The sequence below is a fragment of the Homo sapiens genome, chromosome 2, assembly GCF_000001405.40.
Source record: "Homo sapiens chromosome 2, GRCh38.p14 Primary Assembly".
Taxonomy (NCBI): domain Eukaryota; kingdom Metazoa; phylum Chordata; class Mammalia; order Primates; family Hominidae; genus Homo; species Homo sapiens.
In genome coordinates, this window is record NC_000002.12 from 184,260,501 (window position 1) to 184,282,761 (window position 22,261).

Below are 22,261 nucleotides of genomic sequence, written 5' to 3' on the forward strand. Positions count from 1 at the left end.
TGTTGATCAAGAAGAATATAATGCATTTATTTTTCACCTATTAAGGATACAAAACTTTCAAAAATGCCGTCTCTGAAATTTGTGTAATTCTCATTCCAAATACAAGACAGCCCAAGTTTATATAGCTGATAATTAGTGTAGCTGATGAAGCTAAGACTGATATCTAAAAGTAACTAAAGAATCTGTTTATCTCACAGGTTCTGGAGATTAGGATGTGGACATCTTTGCGATGACTATTTTATAGCCTAACATAGCTTTGTTTGGGTAACAGAGACTTACTCAGGTTACCTCCCCTCGAAAATTGGGGAAAAACTTAAAGATAGGTGTCAATTGATAAGATAAAAGGTCTAAGAAAAGCAAGAATCTCAGTCACACAAGAATGCAGAATTAGACTGATGAAAAAGCAGGAATCATAGCACAGCTTCACTTCAAGATACTGGAATTGGATATGGATATTCTTTTCAAACCCAAGGCAGCTCTGAAGAACCTCAGCATATGAAGTTTGTAGAACTCTACTTTAGACTCTGCAATAATGTCACTTCCAAATTGCCTTTGTGTTTTTATGTATACTCCCTATTCACATACTAACTTCTTTTTTACGCTAATACTGCATGCATTTCATGGTTCATGATTATCCAAAACTTTGAATTTTTATTATTTTAACGGATATGCCAATAATAATTTTTTTTTGCCAGTGACTCTCACCATTAACCCTAAGCTTTTGCTCATGTTATGACCTACCCAATTCATTCCAGCTTTCTTGGCACATTTTTTCTTAGTGTCATTCATAAGAACTCTTTTGTTAGAACTGCCAAGAATTACTATTAAAGATACAGCTTCCTGAATCTAGCAACCAGAATCAGAGGACAGGGGTGGGCCTGGGATCTGACTTTTAAGCAAGCTTCCCAAATAATTCCTATACCCAGCAAAAATTGAGAAAACATATGCCTGAGATTCACCTGGCTATTCCTCTTATACTTGTTTAAGCAAAATTTGTTTTTCACAAATTGGCCAAAAATTGAGTGTCTGCCAAGTTTCTTTATTTACTGTCCTTAAATCAGTAAGGGACTGAATCAATATGCTTTTCTAGCAAATTGTTTTAAAAGTAAATTTATTGGAAATTTTATTCACTTATTGTCTATTAATCTATCCATCTATATTTCTATATCCCACTATGTGTCACTTTCTGTTCCCAATTTTGGGAAAACTTCAAGGAAAAACATAATGTTGTGAAATGGTAAATAAGTTATAATAGTAGGTAAGAGCTATGATACCACTGAGGATAAATGATCATGGCAGTAGAAATACCCTATACCAACTTTCTTTGAGTGGGAAAGTTAATGAAAAATAGCACTTTTGAGTCCAGGTAATGGATTCCTAATTCTGTCCAGCCCAGCCTTCTCAGATTTAGTCCCAAAGAACACTAGTGTATGAGTAAATTCAGGGAGCCGTAATATTGAGAGACTTGGCCAATTTGGGCCTGGGACATGCCTTTCTGCATGTTATATTAGGGAAGAGGTCATTGGCCTCAGCCAAGAGGCGATGACCATGCCTGGAGCAGGAGCCAAAGTCCTAGCCAAGTAGGGTAAGAGCTATCAGACATAGAGTTGTGCTGTGGTAACAGTGGGGAAAGTAACGGTGTCCAACTTTGGGATGTATGGGTTTCAACTGTGACACAAGGCTGTGGCTATGTTGGCATATATGATTTATGATAACATAATATATATAATATATATTATATCCATATATAAATATGTACATTTGTGTATAGATACATATTTTTCCAAATGAATATGAAACACACAGTAAATAGTCGCAGAGTGAAGTAAAAGGTATTCATTCAACCTAATTTTATTGATTTTCTCCTGAAATTTAAAAAATTTCCAATAAACTTTTTATTCTCAGTTTTGTACATGACACCTGATGATATGTGTCCATCAAATCAGAATGTACCTGATATATAAGCATTAATTTCCATGTTAAAGTTAAATTATACACTTAAAAAGAACAAAATAACTTTGGGAAAAGCAACCCTAGAACACAAACTTCACTAATTCAGATAATCCTCTTCATTCCTAAAAGAATATAGGTAGTAAGTCCAAAGCTTGTTTTACTTTCTACATTTCTAATATTTTAAGTGGGCACATGTGAGAAATGGAATATAGTTTTTACTATTCATTATCTAATCATTAATATTCATGAGTGAATTAGTAAAGAATTCAAATATAACAATAATAAAAATTATTGTTTCTTAAAAATTGCCTTTTGCAGGAAAGATTCTCATTAGTTTTGTTCCTCTAGTCAACAAATTATTCCACTTTAGTAGAAATGAATATGCTGTTAATATTTGATGTTTGTTGGAAACTTGTAGCTCAGTTTCATCTAAGGTATTATCATTTCAGAGAACTGAAAAAAATAGATGTCTTAGTCTGTTTTTTGTTGCTATAACAGAATACCACAGTCTGGATAATTTGTAAAGAAAAGAAATGTATTTCTCAGAGTTCTGGAGGCTGGAAATCCTATATCCAGTTGCTGGCATCTGGTGAGGGCCTTCTTGCTGCATTGTCCCATGGCAGAAGGTATAACATGAGGAGAAAATACCCAAGAGAGGGAAGAAGGGGCAAGACTCATCCTTTTATAAGCGACTCAGTCTGGAGGTAACTAACCCACTACTAAAATTAAGGCATTAATTTATTTATTAGGTCAAGCCTTATCACCTGCTTACATCTTAAGAGTCCTATCTCTCAACACTGTTGCATTAGGGATTAAGTTTCCATCAAACAAATGTTGGAGAACACTTTCAAACCATAGCAATAATCTATACAGATTCTGGGATTCAGAATTGTGATTATAATTTCTATCATGGCACTATGTCCAATAAATCCTTAAAAAATTTCATAATTTCAAAAAGTAGTTTGAATCTTAAACTAAAATTGTTATATGTAAATTTGCATGTTTATTATATTAAAAATACTTTATGACTCCTCATTAACGAATCATAAAATGATTATTAATGACAGATGTTTTAGCTCTTCACGAGATTTTATGTCCAATTAAATATTACAGGTCCATACAAAATGTAAAATGGCAAAGTTAGTATTGTAAAAAAAGTTTATCTTTATGAGAAAAAAATCTGATTATTAATACACATTAATGAACTACTCATCAAGAACAGCAAAGGAAAATGAAAACAATACTCTGGTGCTTACATTCTTATAAATGGGAAACATTAATCTATAAGTATTAAATGTCTTCCGTGAAACATGTAAAATCACATAGCTATCTGCAATTCTAAAATATAAAAGTTCTGAAAACTGAAAGATTTTTGTAAATATGCAACACTCAGTTGGCATGCTTTCTATGCTGAGGTGAGATATTTATATTGGTATTTTAAATATTGATAAAACTCAATATCAACACATTTTAGAGTAACTTTTCATGTTTTGCTGCAGGAATAGTAATGTGTTGATTATAGACTGATACTTCAGACTCTTCAGGGTGTTTATGCAATATTTGGCATACACATACTTAAATATTTTAAAAAGTTGAGGAATTCTGAATTATGAATCACAACTGGCTGCAATAGTTTGTGGATTTGTAGTAGGAATTATACAATTAAATAATCTGCAACACATAACCACAACTGTAATAAACAATACATTTGTAATTGTTATTATAGTATTTTTAAATTCCATTGAAATAGTGAAAAAATATTCCTCAAACAAGTACTATTAAGTCCCAACAACAAGAGCATGACCCACATAATTCAATAAATTGCTGGATTGTTTGCCAAAGATTTCCAATTCCAGCAGAAAATTCAATGTGTGTGGGTTTGTGTGTTTATTCACCAGGATTATTAAAATGGTGAGGCAGATGAAAATATACAAAGTATTGTGGATAAAAGACAATTTGGAGGAAGTAGATAAAGACAAGCACAAAGTAAAATAACTTGCTTAACTATTCACATTATATTGGATAGAAAATTTGAGACAGAAAATGAATACTACAAAATGAAAGTGGCTTTGCATATGAACAGGAGAAAAAAATGAAGAGCTTTGTATTCACAAAACCAACTCAATTACATAAGGAAAACTCAAAATAAGAAAAAAATTGTAACTGTGATAATCACTTTTACTTAATATATCAGAGTAACTTAATATTAGGGAGAGTGGGCTTACAAGGTGGAAAAGAGCATGCTTAAGAGTCTCATTGAGGGAAAGAACTGTAGCTATTTTTAAAAATCTTATAATAATAGATCTTAATATTCTATTTTAACATTTTGTTTTATTAGAATTTAATATGTTGTTACAGATAGAGTATCAATCACATTTTATTTTTATTCTTTTTTTTTTTAATTTAAGTTCTGGGATACGTGTGCTGAACCTGCAGGTTTGTTACATAGTCATGTGCCCTGGTGGTTTGCTTCACCAATCAACCCATCATCTAGGTTTTAAGCCCCTCATGCATTAGGTATTTGTCCTAATGCTCTCCCACCCCTTGCCCCCTAACACCCGACAGACCCTGGTGTGTGATGTTCCCTTCCCTGTGTCCATGTGTTCTCATTGTTCAACTCCCACTTATGAGTGAGAACATGAGGTGTTTGGTTTTTCTGTTTCAGTGTTAGTTTTCTAGAATGATGGTTCCATCTTCACCCATGTCCCTGCAAAGGACATGAACCCATTCTTTTTTATGGCTGCATAGTATTCCATGCAGCCATGGAATGTGCCACATTTTCTTTATCCAGTCTATCATTTATGGGCATTAGGATTGGTTCCAAGTCTTTGCTATTGTAAAAAGTGCTGCAATAGAGATATGTGTGCATGTGTCTTTATAGTAGAATGATTTATAATCCTTTGGGTACATACCCAGTAATGGGATTTTTAGGTCAAATGGTATTTCTGGTTCTAGATCCTTGACGAATCACCACACTGTCTTCCACAATGGTTGAACTAATTTACACTTTCACCAATAGTGTAAAAGTGTTCATATTTCTCTGCATCCTCACCATTATCTGTTGTTTCCAGACTTTTTAATGATGGCCATTCTAACTGACATGAGATGGTATCTCATTGTGGTTTTGATTTGCATTTCTCTAATAACTAGTGATGATGACCTTTTTTTCATGTGTGTTGGCCTCATAAATGTCTTCTTTTAAGAAGTGTCTATTCATATCCTTCACCCACTTTTTGATGGTGTTTCTTTTTCTTGTACATTTGTTTAAGTTCCTTGTAGATTCTGGATATTAGACCTCTGTCAAACAGATAGATTGCAAAAATTTTTCTCCTATTCTGTAGGTTGCCTGTTCACTCTGATGACAGTTTCTTTTGCTGAGCAGAAGCGCTTTAATTTAATTAGATACCATTTGTCAATACAATAATACAAACTACCATCAGAGAATACTATAAACACCTCTGTGCAATTAAAATAGAAAATCTAGAGGAAATGGATAAATTCCTGGACACATACACCCTTCCAAGACTAAACCAGGGAGAAGTCGAATCCCTGTAGAGACCAATAACAAGTTCTACAACTGAGGGAGTAAATAATAGCCTACCAACTAAAAAAAGTCCAGAACCAGACAGATTCACAGCTGAATTCTACTGGAGGTATAAAGAGGAGCTGGTACCATTCCTTCTGAAACCATTCCAAACAATAGAAAACAAAGGACTCCTCCCTAACTCATTTTATGAGACCAGCATCATCCTGTTACCAAAACCTTGCAGAGACACAACAAAAAAAGAAAATTTCAGGCCAATAGCCTTGATGAACATCGATGCGAAAATCCTCAATAAAATACTGGCAAACTGAATCCAGCAGCACATCAAAAAGCTTATCCACCACAATCAAGTTGGCTTCATCCCTGGGATGCAAGGTTGGTTTAGCATATGCAAATCAATAAATGTAATGCATTACATAAACATAACCAGTGACAAAGACACATGATTATCTCAATAGATGCAGAAAAGACTTTCGATATAATTCAATACGCCTTCATGCTAAAGACTCTCAATAAACTAGGTACTGATGGAATGTATTTTTATTCTGTAAATGTTTTACTACCATTTAATTACAGGACAATTAAGTATTCTGAAGAAATAGTCAATAACTCATAATTTTATTTAGTTGTCAAATAGATTAGCTCTTTTCTCAGAAATTATTAATTACACTAATGGGACCATATGAACACATTTTGCTAGGTGAATGTAGGCCAATTTTATTATAGCAGGAATCATTTACAGTTGTCATAATATCCTAATTACTCAAAACTTTGATATTCTTTATTAAAAATAAATTCTTTGTCCATTCTGCTGTTGGTTTTTGAATAAATACATTACTCAAAATGTAAACAGTTCATCAGACGATCACTTTTCTAGTAACATTAATGTAAATCCTAATACATTTTTAATCCTCCAGCAAATTTTTAACTCTTACCTAAAACTGAATAAGGTTTAAAGACACCTTTACTTTACTCAGTCTTTTACATAGCCAACTATTAATGATCAATAAGTCAGTCAGTAACCTTGGTTTTATCTTGTCATTAAATAGCTTTATCACTTATATATTTTTATCCATATTGATAAGAATATGCCCCAGGTAGGTAAGTAAAATAAAAGGAACATTTTCTACTTGGGATATGATAGGAAAATTCACGTTTAAAATACATAGCTTTAGTGTCTTGGAAATACCCAATGAGGTACATGCTAGCTCCATTTTCTGACGGTGTCCCTGGATATTAGTCAGTGTCAAATCTTCTTTCAGATTAGAGCAAATTCCTTATAATTTGACTTTCTATTTTCATATTAGAGGGAAATTTACCTTTTATGATATCTGAAAAAAAAATCCTTTAAACAGCTACACTTCTGACAAGTTGACTAAAGCAGCAAGCAACACAAACTTGAAAAAAAATAACTTCTTGGGTAAATTACTACTTTAGGGTATTCTGATTATGCCAGTGAACTCTTTGGGTAAGGATGCTACAAGACCCTCTAAACTAAATCTATTCCTTTCCAACTTTCATATGCATGCAAATCACCTGGGGATCTTGCCAAAGAGAAGATGCTAATTTAGTAGGTCTGGAGTGGGACCCAGGAGTCTGTAGTTCCAATAAACTCACAGGTGATCCCAATGCCAGCCACTGGTCTGGGGGCCATAGTGGGTCCCAAGGTTCTAGAGCATTGCATCTCACACTTTGGTGTTGGCTTGTGGATACTGATATTATGCCTCTGAAAATTCTGAGGAATAATTAGTTTGTGGCAAGGCCTTGGCATTGAGATTTTTAAAGTTTCTTCAGGTAATCTAATGGACAACAAAAGGTTGAGAACCAGTACTCAAGAGTGAAGCAATAATTTAGAACATTTCACAAACTTTCGAGAAGTTCTGGTTACTGAAATTGTAAAAGTTCTACTTCAGGGCTCTGGAGGCCTGGAACTTATATACCTTTAATGGTTGCCTTGCAAACAAGAATACCTCTAAAGCCTGAGCACAGTCTTGAAATAAAAGCATGCTTTGGGCAAATAATACTTTTAATTGAGACAAATTGACCCTTAGGATCAAGCTAATAATGCCCATTGTTCCTTCTCTATCATTAGCAGACATCAGTAGGTGGATCAGCATAAAAGTAGCAAATGAATACTTTGTGTGGTAATAACTGTACTAAATCTGAATATTTCTTGAAACCATTTGCACAACTTTAATGTACCTGTGATTTAGACATCTCCTTGGAGTGCAGTTTTAAACTGTTGCTCCCTCGGTTTAGAAACCTGTATGTGGTTTATGACCCAGTTAGTTTAAATTGATTCTTTCCCTATGTACCCAATTAGCAATTATGGTTTTCAGAGCCCAAAGCGGGGAGGTGTGTGTTGATGGTAGAGAATCAAAGTCATTAAATACAAAACCACTAACAAAAACCAAATGAAAACAAAACCAACTTATCTTAGCCATCTCAGGAAAATATACTGTAAAGGTTGTTGGTTAAATTATTTTAACCATTATTTTGTTTTTATATGGCAGGTTTATCTATTCTTAAACCTTCTGTACGTGACAGTGTCAATCAACAGTGGAATGCTTAAGTCTGTCTATAATACAACTTCCTTTCTCTTTCCCTTCACTTAGCCAAGTGTTGATTCTGACATTCCCTTTCTTCAGAAGACTGGGACTTTCTCATGCTTCTCATGCTCTAAGCCCTATTTTCAGGTAAATTATAAAATTACTATTAATACATGTAAAATATGCAACCTGGGGACTGTTACAGCTTCTTGTATTACTTGAATCCAATAATTTTCAAATTTGAGCCAAACAAATTAATTTCAATGAGTATAAAATGAGGCATCATTAATAGCCATGGAAACCATCTGGCATAAAGTGAACTTTCAACATTATTGATCTCAGACTTAATCCATGCACTTAGCTGGAGCCTGTCTGTGGTCCATAACATACGGTGTTATTTGGAGGGAAAACCTGCGTATTACAATTCAGACTGAACTCTCCATTTTTCAGTCTCCTAGCATTGCTCCCTTACTCCCAATATAGAAACATATAACTGGGCAGCTGCTGTCTCAGGGTAGCTGGGGCAGATCCAAAACAAACAAACAAACAAACAAACTGAACACTAAGGGAGATGGGGCAACGGGATGTATTGGTTTGCTAGGGCTGCCATAACAAAATACCACAAACTGGTGGCTTTAGCAATAGAAATGTATTGTCTCACAGTTCTGAAGGCTAGAAATCTGAGATCAAACTTCTATCTGAAGTTGACAGGGTGTTGACAGGGTTGGCTTCTTCTGAAGAAGGAAACTTGTTGGCCTCTCTCCTGGCTTTCGGTGGCTTGCTGGCAACTTTGATGTTCCCTGGCTTGTAGTTGAATCACCCTGATCTCTGCTTGATGTTCACATGCAGCTCTCCCTGTATTTGTGTCTGTCTCCAAATTTATTTTTTGTAACAACAGTCGTTTGGGATTAGGACCTGCCCTAATGACCTCATTTTAACTTGAAGACCATTGTAAAGACTTTACTTCCAAAAAAGGTCACAACCTGAAGTACAATTTTTAAAGATTAGGGCTTCAACATATGAATTTTGGAGGGGCACAATTCAACCTGTAACAGAAGGCAAACTTTTTGGGGTCAGGTTTTGGGGGAAGCATTCAGTTATGAGAGCAAAAGAAGACTAAGAATCCAATTTTTTTGATGATAACTATATACTCCTGAACTTCTACTGGCATCTTGATCAAAAAGAGGTTTACTACTAACGCATTCATCAACCACTTTGTGCATGGTATGCCTTCCTCTAAGTGCTCTACTTCAGCAGCCCCCAAACATTTTGGCACCAGGGACTGGTTTTGTGAAAGATAATTTTTCCATGGATGGGGGTGGGGACAGGAATGGAAACCCGAAACCATTAGTTATATCCTCATAAGGAGCACACAACCTAGATTCCTCACATGCACAGTTCACAGAAGGGTTTGTGCTCTCATGAGAACATATTGGTGCCACTTATCTGACAGGAGATGGAGCTCAGGCAGTAATGATCCTGGCCCACTGCTTACCCTCTGCTGTGTGGCCTGGTTCCTCACAGACCAGGGACCACTACAGGTCCGTGGCCCAGGAGTGGTTGGGTATCCCTACTCTACTTCATCTATTTCACACAGTCATAATAGAAGCTCGTTGTAAAGAGGAGGAAACTGAGACACAGAGAAATTAAGTAATTTGCTCAGGGTCACAGAGTGGAGGAAGAGTCAAACCCAGAGTCTGATTCTAGAGGCTTCATTTTTAGCCACAGTAGGAGACTAGGTGAACTGTCTGCCTCCACAGAAAGGATATGGATCTTGATTGAGCAGTGAGTGGTTTCAAAGGTTTCCTGCTAGACATCACTGCCTGTTACCTTGTTTATTTTCTACCATTTTACAGAGACTAAATATTGAATACTAATGAAATCCTCTTTTCAGTTAAATATATATGATATAGATTTTGTCTCATTTATTTAGGGTCCGTTTAATAAAAGTGAAACTAAAGTATGAATAACCTGAAGACCTTTGCAGAAATGACAAAGTAGAATGATGCTTAAAAAGGGTTGTGTTGCATTGAATTTTTAAAAATGCATGAAATTGAGAAAAGAGAAAACAAAGATATTTAGCTTCTTTAGAGAGAATACAGGTAATTGTGAAATCAGTTAACAGGGAATTTAAACCACTTCCTTTGTAGTGAGAATGGCAGATTCAAGGCAAGAACATAATACCCAGATGGGTCTTTGTTGATTGTGGGAAGAATTATTCTCCCGGATACGCCGGCAGTATTTTCTTCCTTAATGTCTACAGTTCAGCTGGAATCACTCATGTAGAGATCAGTTAAAGGGGCCACTGAACACATGGTAAAGAGAGATTTGAAGGCATTTCATCAGAGGCAGGAAAGCTCACGACAGAATAACAGGAGAGTTTCTAATGAAAGGGAGATGGGAATTGCCTAATAATTGCCTTTCCGCAGAGTTGGCAAATGTGCCACTAGATCCCTTTGGGAATCCAGGCCTGCAAAGAAGGGAGAATATGCATCTTGGCAGGTCACAAGCCTAGGAAGAGACATAAAAAGACAAAATAGCAAAACAGCAAAATAATACAAGTAAATCCACAGAGCAATAATAGCATTACTATTTGCCGTTCTTATCCCAAGTGGTTTGTTCTTTTCTCCTCTTAAACATATTCATGATAAACATTTACGTTAGCTCCTGTATGTTGTTGCTCTATTTTTCACTTAATCAGGTCAAAGAATCTATAATAGAACCTGACTTTGTAACATTCACAGGCATGGGTGGGAAGAGGTCAGAAGCACAGTTTAGAAGAGAAAAACATATTTTAATGGATGAAGTATGGGAGTCAGGGTAGGAAACAGGTTGCTCTTAAGTAGAGAAGCAGCTAACAAAATACATACAGGAAGGTACAAGTGAGGCAGAGTTCAGGCAAATACATAAGAAGCATGTGTTTGAAAATCCTACAAGTAAAGAAAACTGCCCTGCCAAGTATCCAGGCAAACAGAAACCTGAAAATCTGCTAGAAATAAGGGAGCGAGGCAAAGCAGCAGGAGAAAACAAGAAGTTACCATTAACAGAGAAAGACCTTAATAAGTGAGCAGAGGCCTGCTTTATCCCAGAACTTACATTTGTTTCCTGTGGATCAGGAAGTAATGTACAAGAATAGCTGGGCTGAGGCTCGTGGGTGGAGAGAATTAAGAATATTACATTAGTAAAACACTTCAGAGAAACAAAAAATACCTGTTTACAGAACTTTTTTTCTTTGCAATAAATAGAACACATTTACTCTCATATATTAGGCTCCCTTAACCTTTATCCAGAAGTATGATTTGAAAAGGGGAAAAGACTATATAGTTTCAAAAGGTGATTTTAATGAAGAAGCCACATGTAAATTAAACATTAGTTTCATGGCAAACACATTCTCAACAAACAAACTGAAATGTAAGTGAGATCTCGTCATTCCATTTTGGTTGTTTTCCCTGGTGGACTCCAGAAGGGGTTTATTACTTTGGGTTGTTCTCAACCTGAAACCATCCTGTGAGGCACAGTTCAGGGTTCCCTTGGAGTCACACTCATTTTCATATATGTTATCTTCAGGCCCCAATATGTTGTTTCACTAAACTAGAAACTAGTTCATTGTAATCTGCTAACATAAGGGGGAGGAGGCAGAAACCTGATGGCAGCATAAAGGTAAAGTGCATGTGGATAATGATTCTAATAATAGAAAATTGCAAGTCATCCAGAGACTGGGAATCTGAAGTGTAGGCTTTTCATAATCTGGTATCAACATACCTCTCCAGTCCAATCGCTGGTTATTCATTTTATTAATACAACAATGACAAGTGTTCCTGAAAAAACAAAACTGACATCTTGCCCTGCTGTCACTAAGGATGGGCATATAAATCATATTCCACAGTTAGAAGAAGAGGCACTTTGTACCCTGAAATGAATAATAACTACAACAACAACAAAAATGAGGGTCACTTTGTCTTAATAAATGACACCTTCACATTTCTCGTGATTTGCTGATTCCTTCACAAAATACATTTTCCCCTGACTTTCCAATTGTTAATATCGAAAGAGAGATGATGAACTTGGTCAGTGTAATAATCACGTGAGAAAATTCCAGTTTTTCCAACATAAACTGACAAGCTGTAGATCCAGCAGTATTGAAGATGTTGTGTTTGTTGTCCTTTAAATACTACTGTATTGTTTAAAGATTACTTGACAAGTCAATTTTTTACTGTCTAGACTCTCTTGCAAATCTTTTTTCTCACTGTTTTGTTATTTCTGAGACAGACTTTCTGAATCTTACTGTTTATCCTGGACTCCCAGACCGTGAGCCACACTTTCTTACCTCTGTGTTTGGTTTACACTGTCCTATCCTTCTAAATTTCTTTTTCCTTTGCTTTTCTATCTAGCAAGTGCCTATCCCTTCTTCATGGCCCAGATTAAATCCTGCCACTTCTATAGAAGTTTCAGATTTTGCTTCATTCTAATTACTCTTTTCAATATGTTCCATACTATTTTGTTATCTTATGACTAGTTACTAATTTTGGAATCTCTACTTTCTGGGATTGTACCTGGCATTTAGTAAATATTAATAAATGCTGACTAGAGAGGATTACTGATCATATGAGAGATACTTTGGAACACTCCATCAAATTTAACATTTTGATAGTGACCTACTTTGCCTACGTATTAGTCTGCTCTTTCTCAAATATATATAATTCACATAAAATTATCACTAAAGCAAAATATACAATTGTAAAGAATACTAAATATATCAATTTTGCCTTTGCTTAACCTATAAAGTATCAGCTTTTAAAATACAGTAATATTCTAAATATTTTGTCACCTTCACTCAATTAGAGCGATTCCTGCTATTGACTGTAAGTGTCAATAATAAGAATAGTGCAATTAAATTGGGTGTGTGTGTGAGCAAGAGAGGATCTTACAAAACACTAAGGACCTGAAAAATAAATTCAGCTCTAATAGAAAACAAATTTGAAATGTATGCTTTTTATGTAAAATACGATAATGTATTCATATAAAATGAGCATTTACTGACAAGCATTCCATATTTTGCTTTGTAGTAAACACTGTGTTTCTCTTTCTACATATAAAGAAATAAAACTATTATATATTACTCACAACAATAATTCAGTGGTTAAATAATACTTCATTTTGGCTCAAGGAATCATTGAATAGTTGGACGTATGAGTGCTAGTGTCAGATTGCCTGGGTTCGAATATCAACTTTCCTACAAGTTGTATGATCCTGGTTAGGTGATTGAAATTATTTATGCTTTACTTTAACAAAATTATTTTGGGAAGAATTTAGAGAAGTGTCTGACAAAAAGAAAGCCTTCAAGTTTAGCTATTATTATTTCAATTAATAAAGAGTCACAGAATATTCACAGAGTGGTTCTCTGCTTTACTGATTGTTACATGATACATACATTCCTAATCTTTTGAATCAAAAGTCAACTCAGAAGTCTTCAGAACTGGCACAATTTGGGGCAAAATATTCCTATTTCTGAGTATTTTATTTTACTGTAATAATTTTCCAAAGCTCTCTTCATCCACTGATCATTGCAATACTCACACCTAAAATTCCAATTTTGTCTTGTGCTGTTACTTTTGCTATGGTTTTAAATAAAATTTTTTCAGATTATTAGTAGGGAATTGAATGATTTGACATTTTCTTTAATGCCTAGATTTCACTGAGCAATTATTAAGTCTAGGCAACACTGTTGATTGCATCTATAATTTAGTGCAATATAAATTATATTTAGTGCAATATAAATATAATTCAGTAGAGATTTTAGTGTTCTAAATCTCCAGATCAAGTGATGATATATGCTTAACTTTAAACTTGCTTTATAATATTCATTCAGTATCAGTTCACAAGAAGCTAAGTATGACCACTTATAATATTTGAAATTCATAATACAGAAAATAAAATATACTGACAACATATTACCTTCACAAAATGAATTGAATTATATGTCTCTCACAAAATAGCACATGCTCATCTAGAAAGCCATCAGTGTCAATGCTTTATGTTTTCCAATGTATCCTAGTTATGACTTTTTTTCCTTCTAAAGAAGTTGGAAAAAACCAACCAGAAAAAGAAATACAAACAAAAATTAGCTCAAATGAAGCTTGTGGGAGTTTAGAACAGTAAAGTGCAAAGTCATTATAAGGGCAGAACAACCACGAAAACTAAAAAGTGGTAATTTGTCCTTCTACTGATAGTCTACATAGAAACACAACTTTGGTCATATAGATTCATACTGTAATTGTGAATTGTCTGTGGTAGTATTTATTGCCATAATGCTTCAACTACAAAACAAGCCACTGATTATTGCAATGCCCATGACTAAAATTTCAATACATAGGCACCATGTATAGAAACTCCATAGACAATTTCCATGACTTCACTTTTTCTCCATAAAATATAATGCCCATGTCTTTGAACATTTTATTTATGCTCTTGGTTATTACTATTCTGTAATTTAAAAAAATAACTGTCTAAACTGTCAATATTTTATTTTAACTAGAAATGACTTTAGAAAGCTCAGGCCAGTCACCACAGGACACTTCTCTGTCACATTTCCCCCCAGAGCTTGTTAATTTATTATATTAATAAGTTTGGTTTCACGATTATAAGCAAACATTTTTTCTGTCTTGAGAAAATATGGAAAATACACCTGGAGTAATAATTAGTAACTAAAATTAAAATCTTCTTTACTAAATATAAATTTAATTAGAAATTTTCTAATATACTTTTAACCTCAAAAATTTAAACTGAAAGCTATAGTTAAGAAAAGTTCTACTAATTCTACACCTATCTTAATCTCAATCATTAAGATGAAGGGCTGGCTTATGAGGCACAATAGATAACTTCCTGTAAAGATATTTTCCCACCCTGATGCCACATTTTCTGAAATTCCACCACAGAGATTTACTTCACCTGAAAATCGTCATTAATAATTACAAGCCGTTCTTTTATTTTTAGTCAAATTAACTCACGAACAAATACAGAAGACCTCACAGAGAAAAGCAACTGTTCCCCAATCCATACCACAGCACCACTGCACAGAGGCTACCACTTTTTGAAAACTTGCAATTGTAATTTTTTATTTCTATACCTTATGATAATTTTATATTTGAATTTTTATTTTGTTCTCAGAATTCTTACTAAGTAACATGAGGTTATAGTTTACTTGTACCTTCTCTCTGCTTCCAATTATTAGTGATAACAGCCCTAGCAGTTTTTCCATATATGGTCCTTGAAACTTTAAATAATGAATATAATATCTATTTTATAGTTCAACTATTTTTCTGTACTTTTAGAATTTAAATTTTGTAAGATTTGAAAATTAACATACTTAAATTCCTTCTACCTCTGCTCTTCACATTCGCATCACATTGTAAAGGAAAGATATACCTTTACTGTTATACTTTCAAGGTAGACAAGTCTATAGCTCCTATTTGTTTTAGGGGACGTTGTCTATATATTGAACCTAAATGTTGGAAATCAAATATCATAGTTTACATTTTATGACCATATAAATATATTTCAATTTATTTTTAGTCTGAAGGCAATGGCCTGAAAAAGCATTTCTAAAGTTCTATTCAAGCTCGATTCTGATGAAACAAAACCTCTCAGAAAATCTGCCATGATCATGAGGATGCATACTGAAAGAACATGTGGTATATAGACCAGCTCTGCTGCAATATGAGGAACAGATGCTGGCAAGCTCTTATCCTGACAAAAAGAGGGTCAAACTTCAGGGATTAGTCATGTAAAGATGAAGGTTTCATGCTTCTCAGGGAACACTTGACTGCAGGTATTTATTGTGTGTGATCCTAGCAGGTCACATTGGGTAACTTGGTGCTAAAAGATGTTCATGAAGGTCATACGGGTTTCCTAGGTGCGTCCCTATTCCTGAGGCTAAGAGAGTGCTAACACCTTTAAATGGAAAGTTCTGGGAGCAGCCAGGCTTCTTCCTAGGAGCTCAACTGTTGCTTCTAGTACTTCCATAGATTTTAGGAGAATGGACTGCTCTGCTTCCTACTACTCAGACTCCTAGAATGACCAGAAATATGAGTATCCAAAGAAAATGAAGATCTCCTTAGGGGATCCAGTAGAACAGTCAGCTCTAAGTGAAATAAAATTCCTGGAGTGGACAAAAGACAATAAACAAATAATAAAATATAATGACAGAATACAAAGGAGATTCAATTAAAGATTAATACTGTGGAAATAAAGCATAGATTTTTGGTTAAAGATTTAATATGCAAACCTAAAAACAAAATAGCAACTTGCAAATGAAGTGAAAAAAATAATCTCACAACACAAAATATAAGGTAATGGAAAAATGAAAACTTTTCAGATAGATTCAGTATATCAAATATGCAAATTTCAAAAGTGTAAATAGTTGATCTTTTATTGGAGCAAAAGAAACAGATGAGGCATAGGGTCTAACAAAATAAACTGATATAAAACTTTATTTCACTTGCTGAAACTTTCAAGTCTAGAAGTAAAAACACTGAAAATTCCTTATAAAATTGATGTTATCAGTACACTCTCCTAGACCCAGACTACTATATATTATAGTAGTGATGATTATAAAATATATACAAAATAGCTAGAATATATGATTTCCAACTAATGAAGGAAATAAAGTAAACCATATCACAGTTCTCATCATCTATATTGAAAGCTATGAGGCAGTGGAATATGTATAGAATACAAAAGGGAAAATAATTATGGATGAAAAATATTACATGCAGCAAAGATAGCATTCTTCTGTCACAGCAAAAGAAAGATGGTTTTGAGATATTAAAGGATTTTGGATATCCATCACTAACACATGCCATCTGAGTAATTTAGAAACTACCCATCCCAGAATGGGATTCCTGCGAAGCAGACTTTGAGATGTAGATTTACCTGTGAGAAAAGTATTGGTGAATATTTTCAGAACCTGTGCATTGTGAAGGAAGCAGGATTGGCAAAGGATGAGGTTGAATTGTAATGCTTTTGTAATATAGGCTTCCACTATTTGATTCATATTTTTTACATATTGGGGAATAGCACCATATAAAGTTCTTTAAAATGTGTACTATTATGTCCTAGAGAATGATGTTTAATTGACTCGCTTCAAAATTAGGTTACATCACTTTATCAGACCACTTATGAGTGGTACCATATATATGATATAAAAGTGGATTCTGTGATCCTGGGGCCTCACCTCCACCTCCTTTGTGGTAAAGTAGGTTCCATATCTTATTCAATTATATCTACATTCCTACATTAAACATTCTTAAGCCCTCCAAGGTGCTGGTGAAAGTTGATATATTATTTAAAGATTTTTCACACTTTGTATCAATTTTCCTGCATCCACTCATATCATTAGCCCAAGTTTGCTTAACCTTAATCTTCCAGTCTTTCTCTTTTCAGGTCCCTGACCAAGCCTTTGGTCAAGAGTGTGTATATATTCTAACCACTTCTATTTTCATACAAGATTGGTCCCCAAGTAAAATGCCCAAATTCTATCCATTAGGAGAATTTTCCCTTACCATTCTCTTTCAAGCCCACCCTTGAGTGGGAATATGTGGCAGCTATATTCCCGTAAAACTAGCATACATTTTTGGCTTGCACCACTTACGGAGTCAACTTATCTGTGAACTAAGCTTTAGGTGTTCCTCTTCTGTCATCTGGTCATACATGATTTTATGTATGGCCATAGCTGTGACATGAGAGAGAAAAATTTTGGTGCAAGCTTGGTGGAGGACATGAGGTTCTGGGCTGCGAGTTTTTGGAACTTGCTTGCTCTCTCCAATCCTCCTTCTGCGAAATTAAAGATGTACCATTTATACCTGACAATGGATTATTATCTGTACTACTTATATCATGGGTTTGACAGAAGCTGGCTAATGAGGGGAAGTTCTGTCCAACTCTACAAGTCTTTATTGTGATTCTACATATGACGTCTTTTCCCATAACTTATATTCCGATTTCACAGGTTCCTTAATGTATACCACTAATGTCAGTATGGGTCAATTAGCAAAGCCACTTGCTCAGCAGTTTGGATTTGTGGCAGAGCCCTTTTCTATTCCGAGTCTCACTCCTATATTATTCAGCTCAGGCTTCCCTAACAAAATATTATAGACTGCATGGCTTAAACAGCCTCAGTTCCGGAGGGTGGGACATCCAGGATCAGAGTTCTAGCAAAGTAGGTTTCCTTCTGAGAGCTGTTTTCTTGGCTTGTGGGTGGTTGCTATCTCTTCATATGCTCATAAGACCTCTTCTTTGTGCACCTACAGATAGAAAGAGAGACAGAGAGAAAGAACAAGCTGTCTGGTATGTCTTCTTTTAAGGACAACAATTCTGCCGAATCAAAGCCTCACCCTTATGACTTCATTTAACCTAGATTGTTTGCTTAGAGGTCCAATCTTCAAATACATCCACAGTAAGGGTTAGGGCTTCAACATATACATTTTGGGAAGATATGAATATTCAGTAACAACTCATTTTCTGTCTTCTGAAATATGGCCCAGAAGAGTACTCACAATTATAGAATATTCTGTCTCTAGAACCTGAAGACGCCTACTTAGGTATTATTACTCCTTATTAGTAGTGGAAGGTTCAAGATACACCAGATGGTTCTTTACTTTGAAGGGTGTGTCCAAGTATGTCCCAAACTACTAAATCCCTAAAATCTTTACTTATGTGGTAAAGGTTCCTAAATCATCATAGGACATAGCTCAAACTCTAGGTAGCACATGTGTCTTCCCAAGACCTCAATGTCTTGCTCATCCAGTCTGGTTAACGCAATTTCAGTGATAGAGCATGCTAGCATATTGAGAGATATCAAATAATCCAAAATTGTTTGAGCTATATTATGATAGAGGGAAAAAAGACTTAACATAGAAATGTGATGAAACTGAAACCTCTAAATATATGTGATTGTCGTTTTCATGTGAATGTTTACTGTTTCTTATCTTCTTTAAATGGAGACTGGATGAAGGCCATCACCCATGTATCCTGTAGGTCATCAAGGGTAGTCATTTTTATCAGAATCTAATGTTTTTATTATTTGAATATATTTGCTGAGTTTGGGACTCCACTTTTCTTTTTCCACTAGTCTTACAAGAACTCTTACTCCACATTCAAGGGTCCAAAGAAATGCTTAAGTCAACTTTCAGGTATGTCATATTTCAATCATTTATTCAGGGACTGGCTAAGTGGTCACTAGGTGGAAGTGCAGAGGCAGTGGGATTGCTGTAAGCTGGACCCAGATCAGTATTGCATCTATTATCAGGCTCTCATACACTTTAACCCTAATGGGCAGTATGATAGGGGGATGAGGGTGAGGGTGAGTATAATAAGACCTCAGTTCTCTGAATATCAATTGTAATTCAGACTCGGAGTCAAAAAGCCTTTGGAATGTTCAAGTTTTTGCTTTTCCCAGTGTACAGTTACACTCTCCGTACCACAGGGATTTATGAGATGACCGATAGAATACAATGGCTCTAGTGGCAAAAGAGAGATGCAGCCAAGAAGGATCCCTCTCAACGTATAAACAGATCAGAGATCTCGTAAACAAGTGGTATATTCTTTCTTTCGAAGATGGAACTAATTGACATAAAAAGAGCTCTGGTGCCCAGGAGGAAGTACCTTGCAGATTCCTCATAAGCTGGCAGGTGTCTTAGTTAGCTTGGTCTGCTATAATAAAGTACCAGAGACTTGGGTGATTTAGAAACTTATCTTTAATGGTCTGAAGTCTGATATCAGTGTGCCACATGGTTAGGTTCTTGTGAGGCCCTCTTCCAGGTTTCACATTGTTGACTTCTTATATGCTCACACAGCAGAAGGGGAGCTAGCTGGACTTTTCTTATAAGAACAATGATTCCATCCATGAAGGCTCTATTCTCATGACATAATAATCTTCCTAGGCCTTACTCCCAAAGACCATTATCCAGGGATTAGGGCTTCAATGTATGAATTTAGGGCAGAGGGTACACAAACATTCAGTTAATTGCAGCCCAATGATTGGGTTGTATTAAAAGCATATAAATAAAACAAGTACTATGCGTTTTGGTTACCATAGCCTTGTAGTATAGTTTGAAGTCAGGTAGCGTGATACCTCCAGCTTTGTTCTTTTTGCTTAGGATTGTCTTGGCTATATGGGCTCTTTTTAGGTTCCAAATGAAATTTAAAGTAGTTTTTTTCTAATTCTGTGAAGAAAGTCAATGGTAGCTTGATGAGGATACTATTGAATCTATAAATTACTTTGAGCAGTATGGCCATTTGCAGGATATTGATTCTTCCTATCCATGAGCATGGAATGTTTTTCCATTTCTTTGTGTCCTGTCTTATTTCCTTGAGCATTGGTTTGTAATTCCCTTTGAAGAGGTCCTTCACATTCCTTGTAAGTTGTATTCCTAGGTATTTTATTCTCTTTGTAGCCATAGTGAATGGGAGTTCACTCATGATTTGGCTCTCTGCTTGTCTGTTATTGGTGTATAGGAATGCTTGTGATTTTTGCACATTGATTTTGTATTCTGAGACTTTGCTGAAGTTGCTTATCAGGTTAAGATTTTGAGCTGAGGTGAGGGGGTTTTCTAAATATACAGTCATGTCATCTGCAAACAGAGACAATTTGACTTCCCCTCTTCTTATGTGAATACCCTTTATTTCTTTCTCTTGCCAGATTGTCCTGGCCAGAACTTCCAATATTATGTTGAAAAGGAATGGTGAGAGAGGGCATCTTTGTCTTGTGCTGGTTTTCAAAGGGAATGCTTCCAGTTTTTGCCCATTCAGTATGATATTGGCTGTGGATTTGTCATAAATAGCTCTTACTATTTTGAGATACATTCCATCAATACATAGTTTATTGAGAGTTTTTAGCATGAAGGGATGTTGAATTTTATCGAAGGCCTTTTCTGCATCTATTGAGGTAGTCATGTCGTTTTTGTCATTGGTTCTGTTGAAGTGAAGAATTACATTTATTAATTTCCATATGTTGAACCAGACTTGCATCCCAGGGATGAAGCCGACTTGATCATGGTGCATAAGCTTTTTGATGTGTTGCTGGATTCGGTTTGCCAGTATTTTATTGAGGATTTTCACATCAATGTTCACCAGGGATATTGGCCTGAAATTTTCTTTTTGTTGGGTCTCTGCGAGGTTTTGGTAATAGGATGATGCTGACCTCATAAAATGAGTTAGGAAGGAGTCCCTCTTTTTCTATTGTTTGGAATAATTTCAGAAAGAATGGTACCAGCTACTCTTTGTACCTCTGGTAGAATTCGGCTGTGAATCCGTCTGGTCCTGGTACCAAAACAGATATATAGACAAATGAAAGAGAGCAGAGGCTCAGAAATAATGCCACACACCTATAACCATCTGTTCTTTGACAAACCTGATAAAAACAAGCAATGGGGAAAGGATTCACTATTTAATAAATGGTGTTGGGAAAACTGGCTAGCCGTATGCAGAAAAATATAACTGGACCTCTTCCTTATACCTTATAAATAATTAACTCAAGATGGATTAAAGACTTAAACATAAGACCTAAAACCATTAAAAGCCTAGAAGAAAACCTAGGCAATATCATTCAGGACATAGGCATGGGCAAAGACTTCATAACTGAAACATCAAAAGCAATGGCAACAAAAGACAAAATTGGCAAATAGGATCTAATTAACAAAAGAGCTTCTGCACAGCAAAAGAAACTGTCATCAGAGTGAACAGGCAACTTACAGAATGGGAGAAAATTTTTGCGATCTATCCACCTGAGAAAGGACTAATATCCAGAATCTGCAAAGAACTTAAACAAATTTACAAGAAAAAAAAACAAGAAATGCTAACAAAAAGTGGGCAAGGGATATCAACAGACACTTCTCAAAAGAAAACATTTATGAGGCCAACAAACATATGAAAAAAAGCTCACATCACTGGTCATTAAAGAAATGCAAATCAAAACCACAAGGAGATACCATCTCACGCCAGTTAGAATGGTGAACATTAAAAAGTCAGGAAACAACAGATGCTGGAGAAGATGTGGAGAAATAGGAACGCTTTTATGAGTGAAAGTCTAAATTAGTTCAACTATTGTGCAAGACAGTGTGACGATTCCTCATGGATCTAGAACCAGAAATACCACTTGACCCAACAATTCCATTACTGGGTTTATACCCAAAGGATTATAAATCATTCTACTATAAAG

The 22,261-nt window shown here is 35.2% G+C and overlaps 2 long non-coding RNA genes across 4 annotated transcripts in view, besides 1 other annotated feature; one reads left to right on the forward strand and one right to left on the reverse strand.

The window, feature by feature from the left end:
• The window catches only part of LOC102724340 (uncharacterized), a 246,221-nt gene that overhangs the window by 70,231 nt on the left and 153,729 nt on the right, over nucleotides 1-22,261 (forward strand). The window lies entirely within an intron of this gene.
• Nucleotides 9,921-11,120: an enhancer, noted in NCBI's record as "CDK7 strongly-dependent group 2 enhancer chr2:185135148-185136347 (GRCh37/hg19 assembly coordinates)". NCBI's record gives its function as "activates an origin of replication core promoter dependent on BRD2, BRD4, P300/CBP, MED14 and CDK7 cofactors, with strong dependence on CDK7, by STARR-seq in HCT116 cells {active_cell/tissue: HCT116}" and the evidence as "EXISTENCE:reporter gene assay evidence [ECO:0000049][PMID:35650434]".
• Nucleotides 18,260-22,261, reverse strand: part of LOC105373776 (uncharacterized) — a 116,629-nt gene continuing 112,627 nt past the window's right edge. Inside the window, exon 4 of the long non-coding RNA XR_923650.3 lies at nucleotides 18,260-18,347. This is a non-coding gene — a long non-coding RNA (uncharacterized LOC105373776). The remainder of the gene's footprint in view (nucleotides 18,348-22,261) is intronic.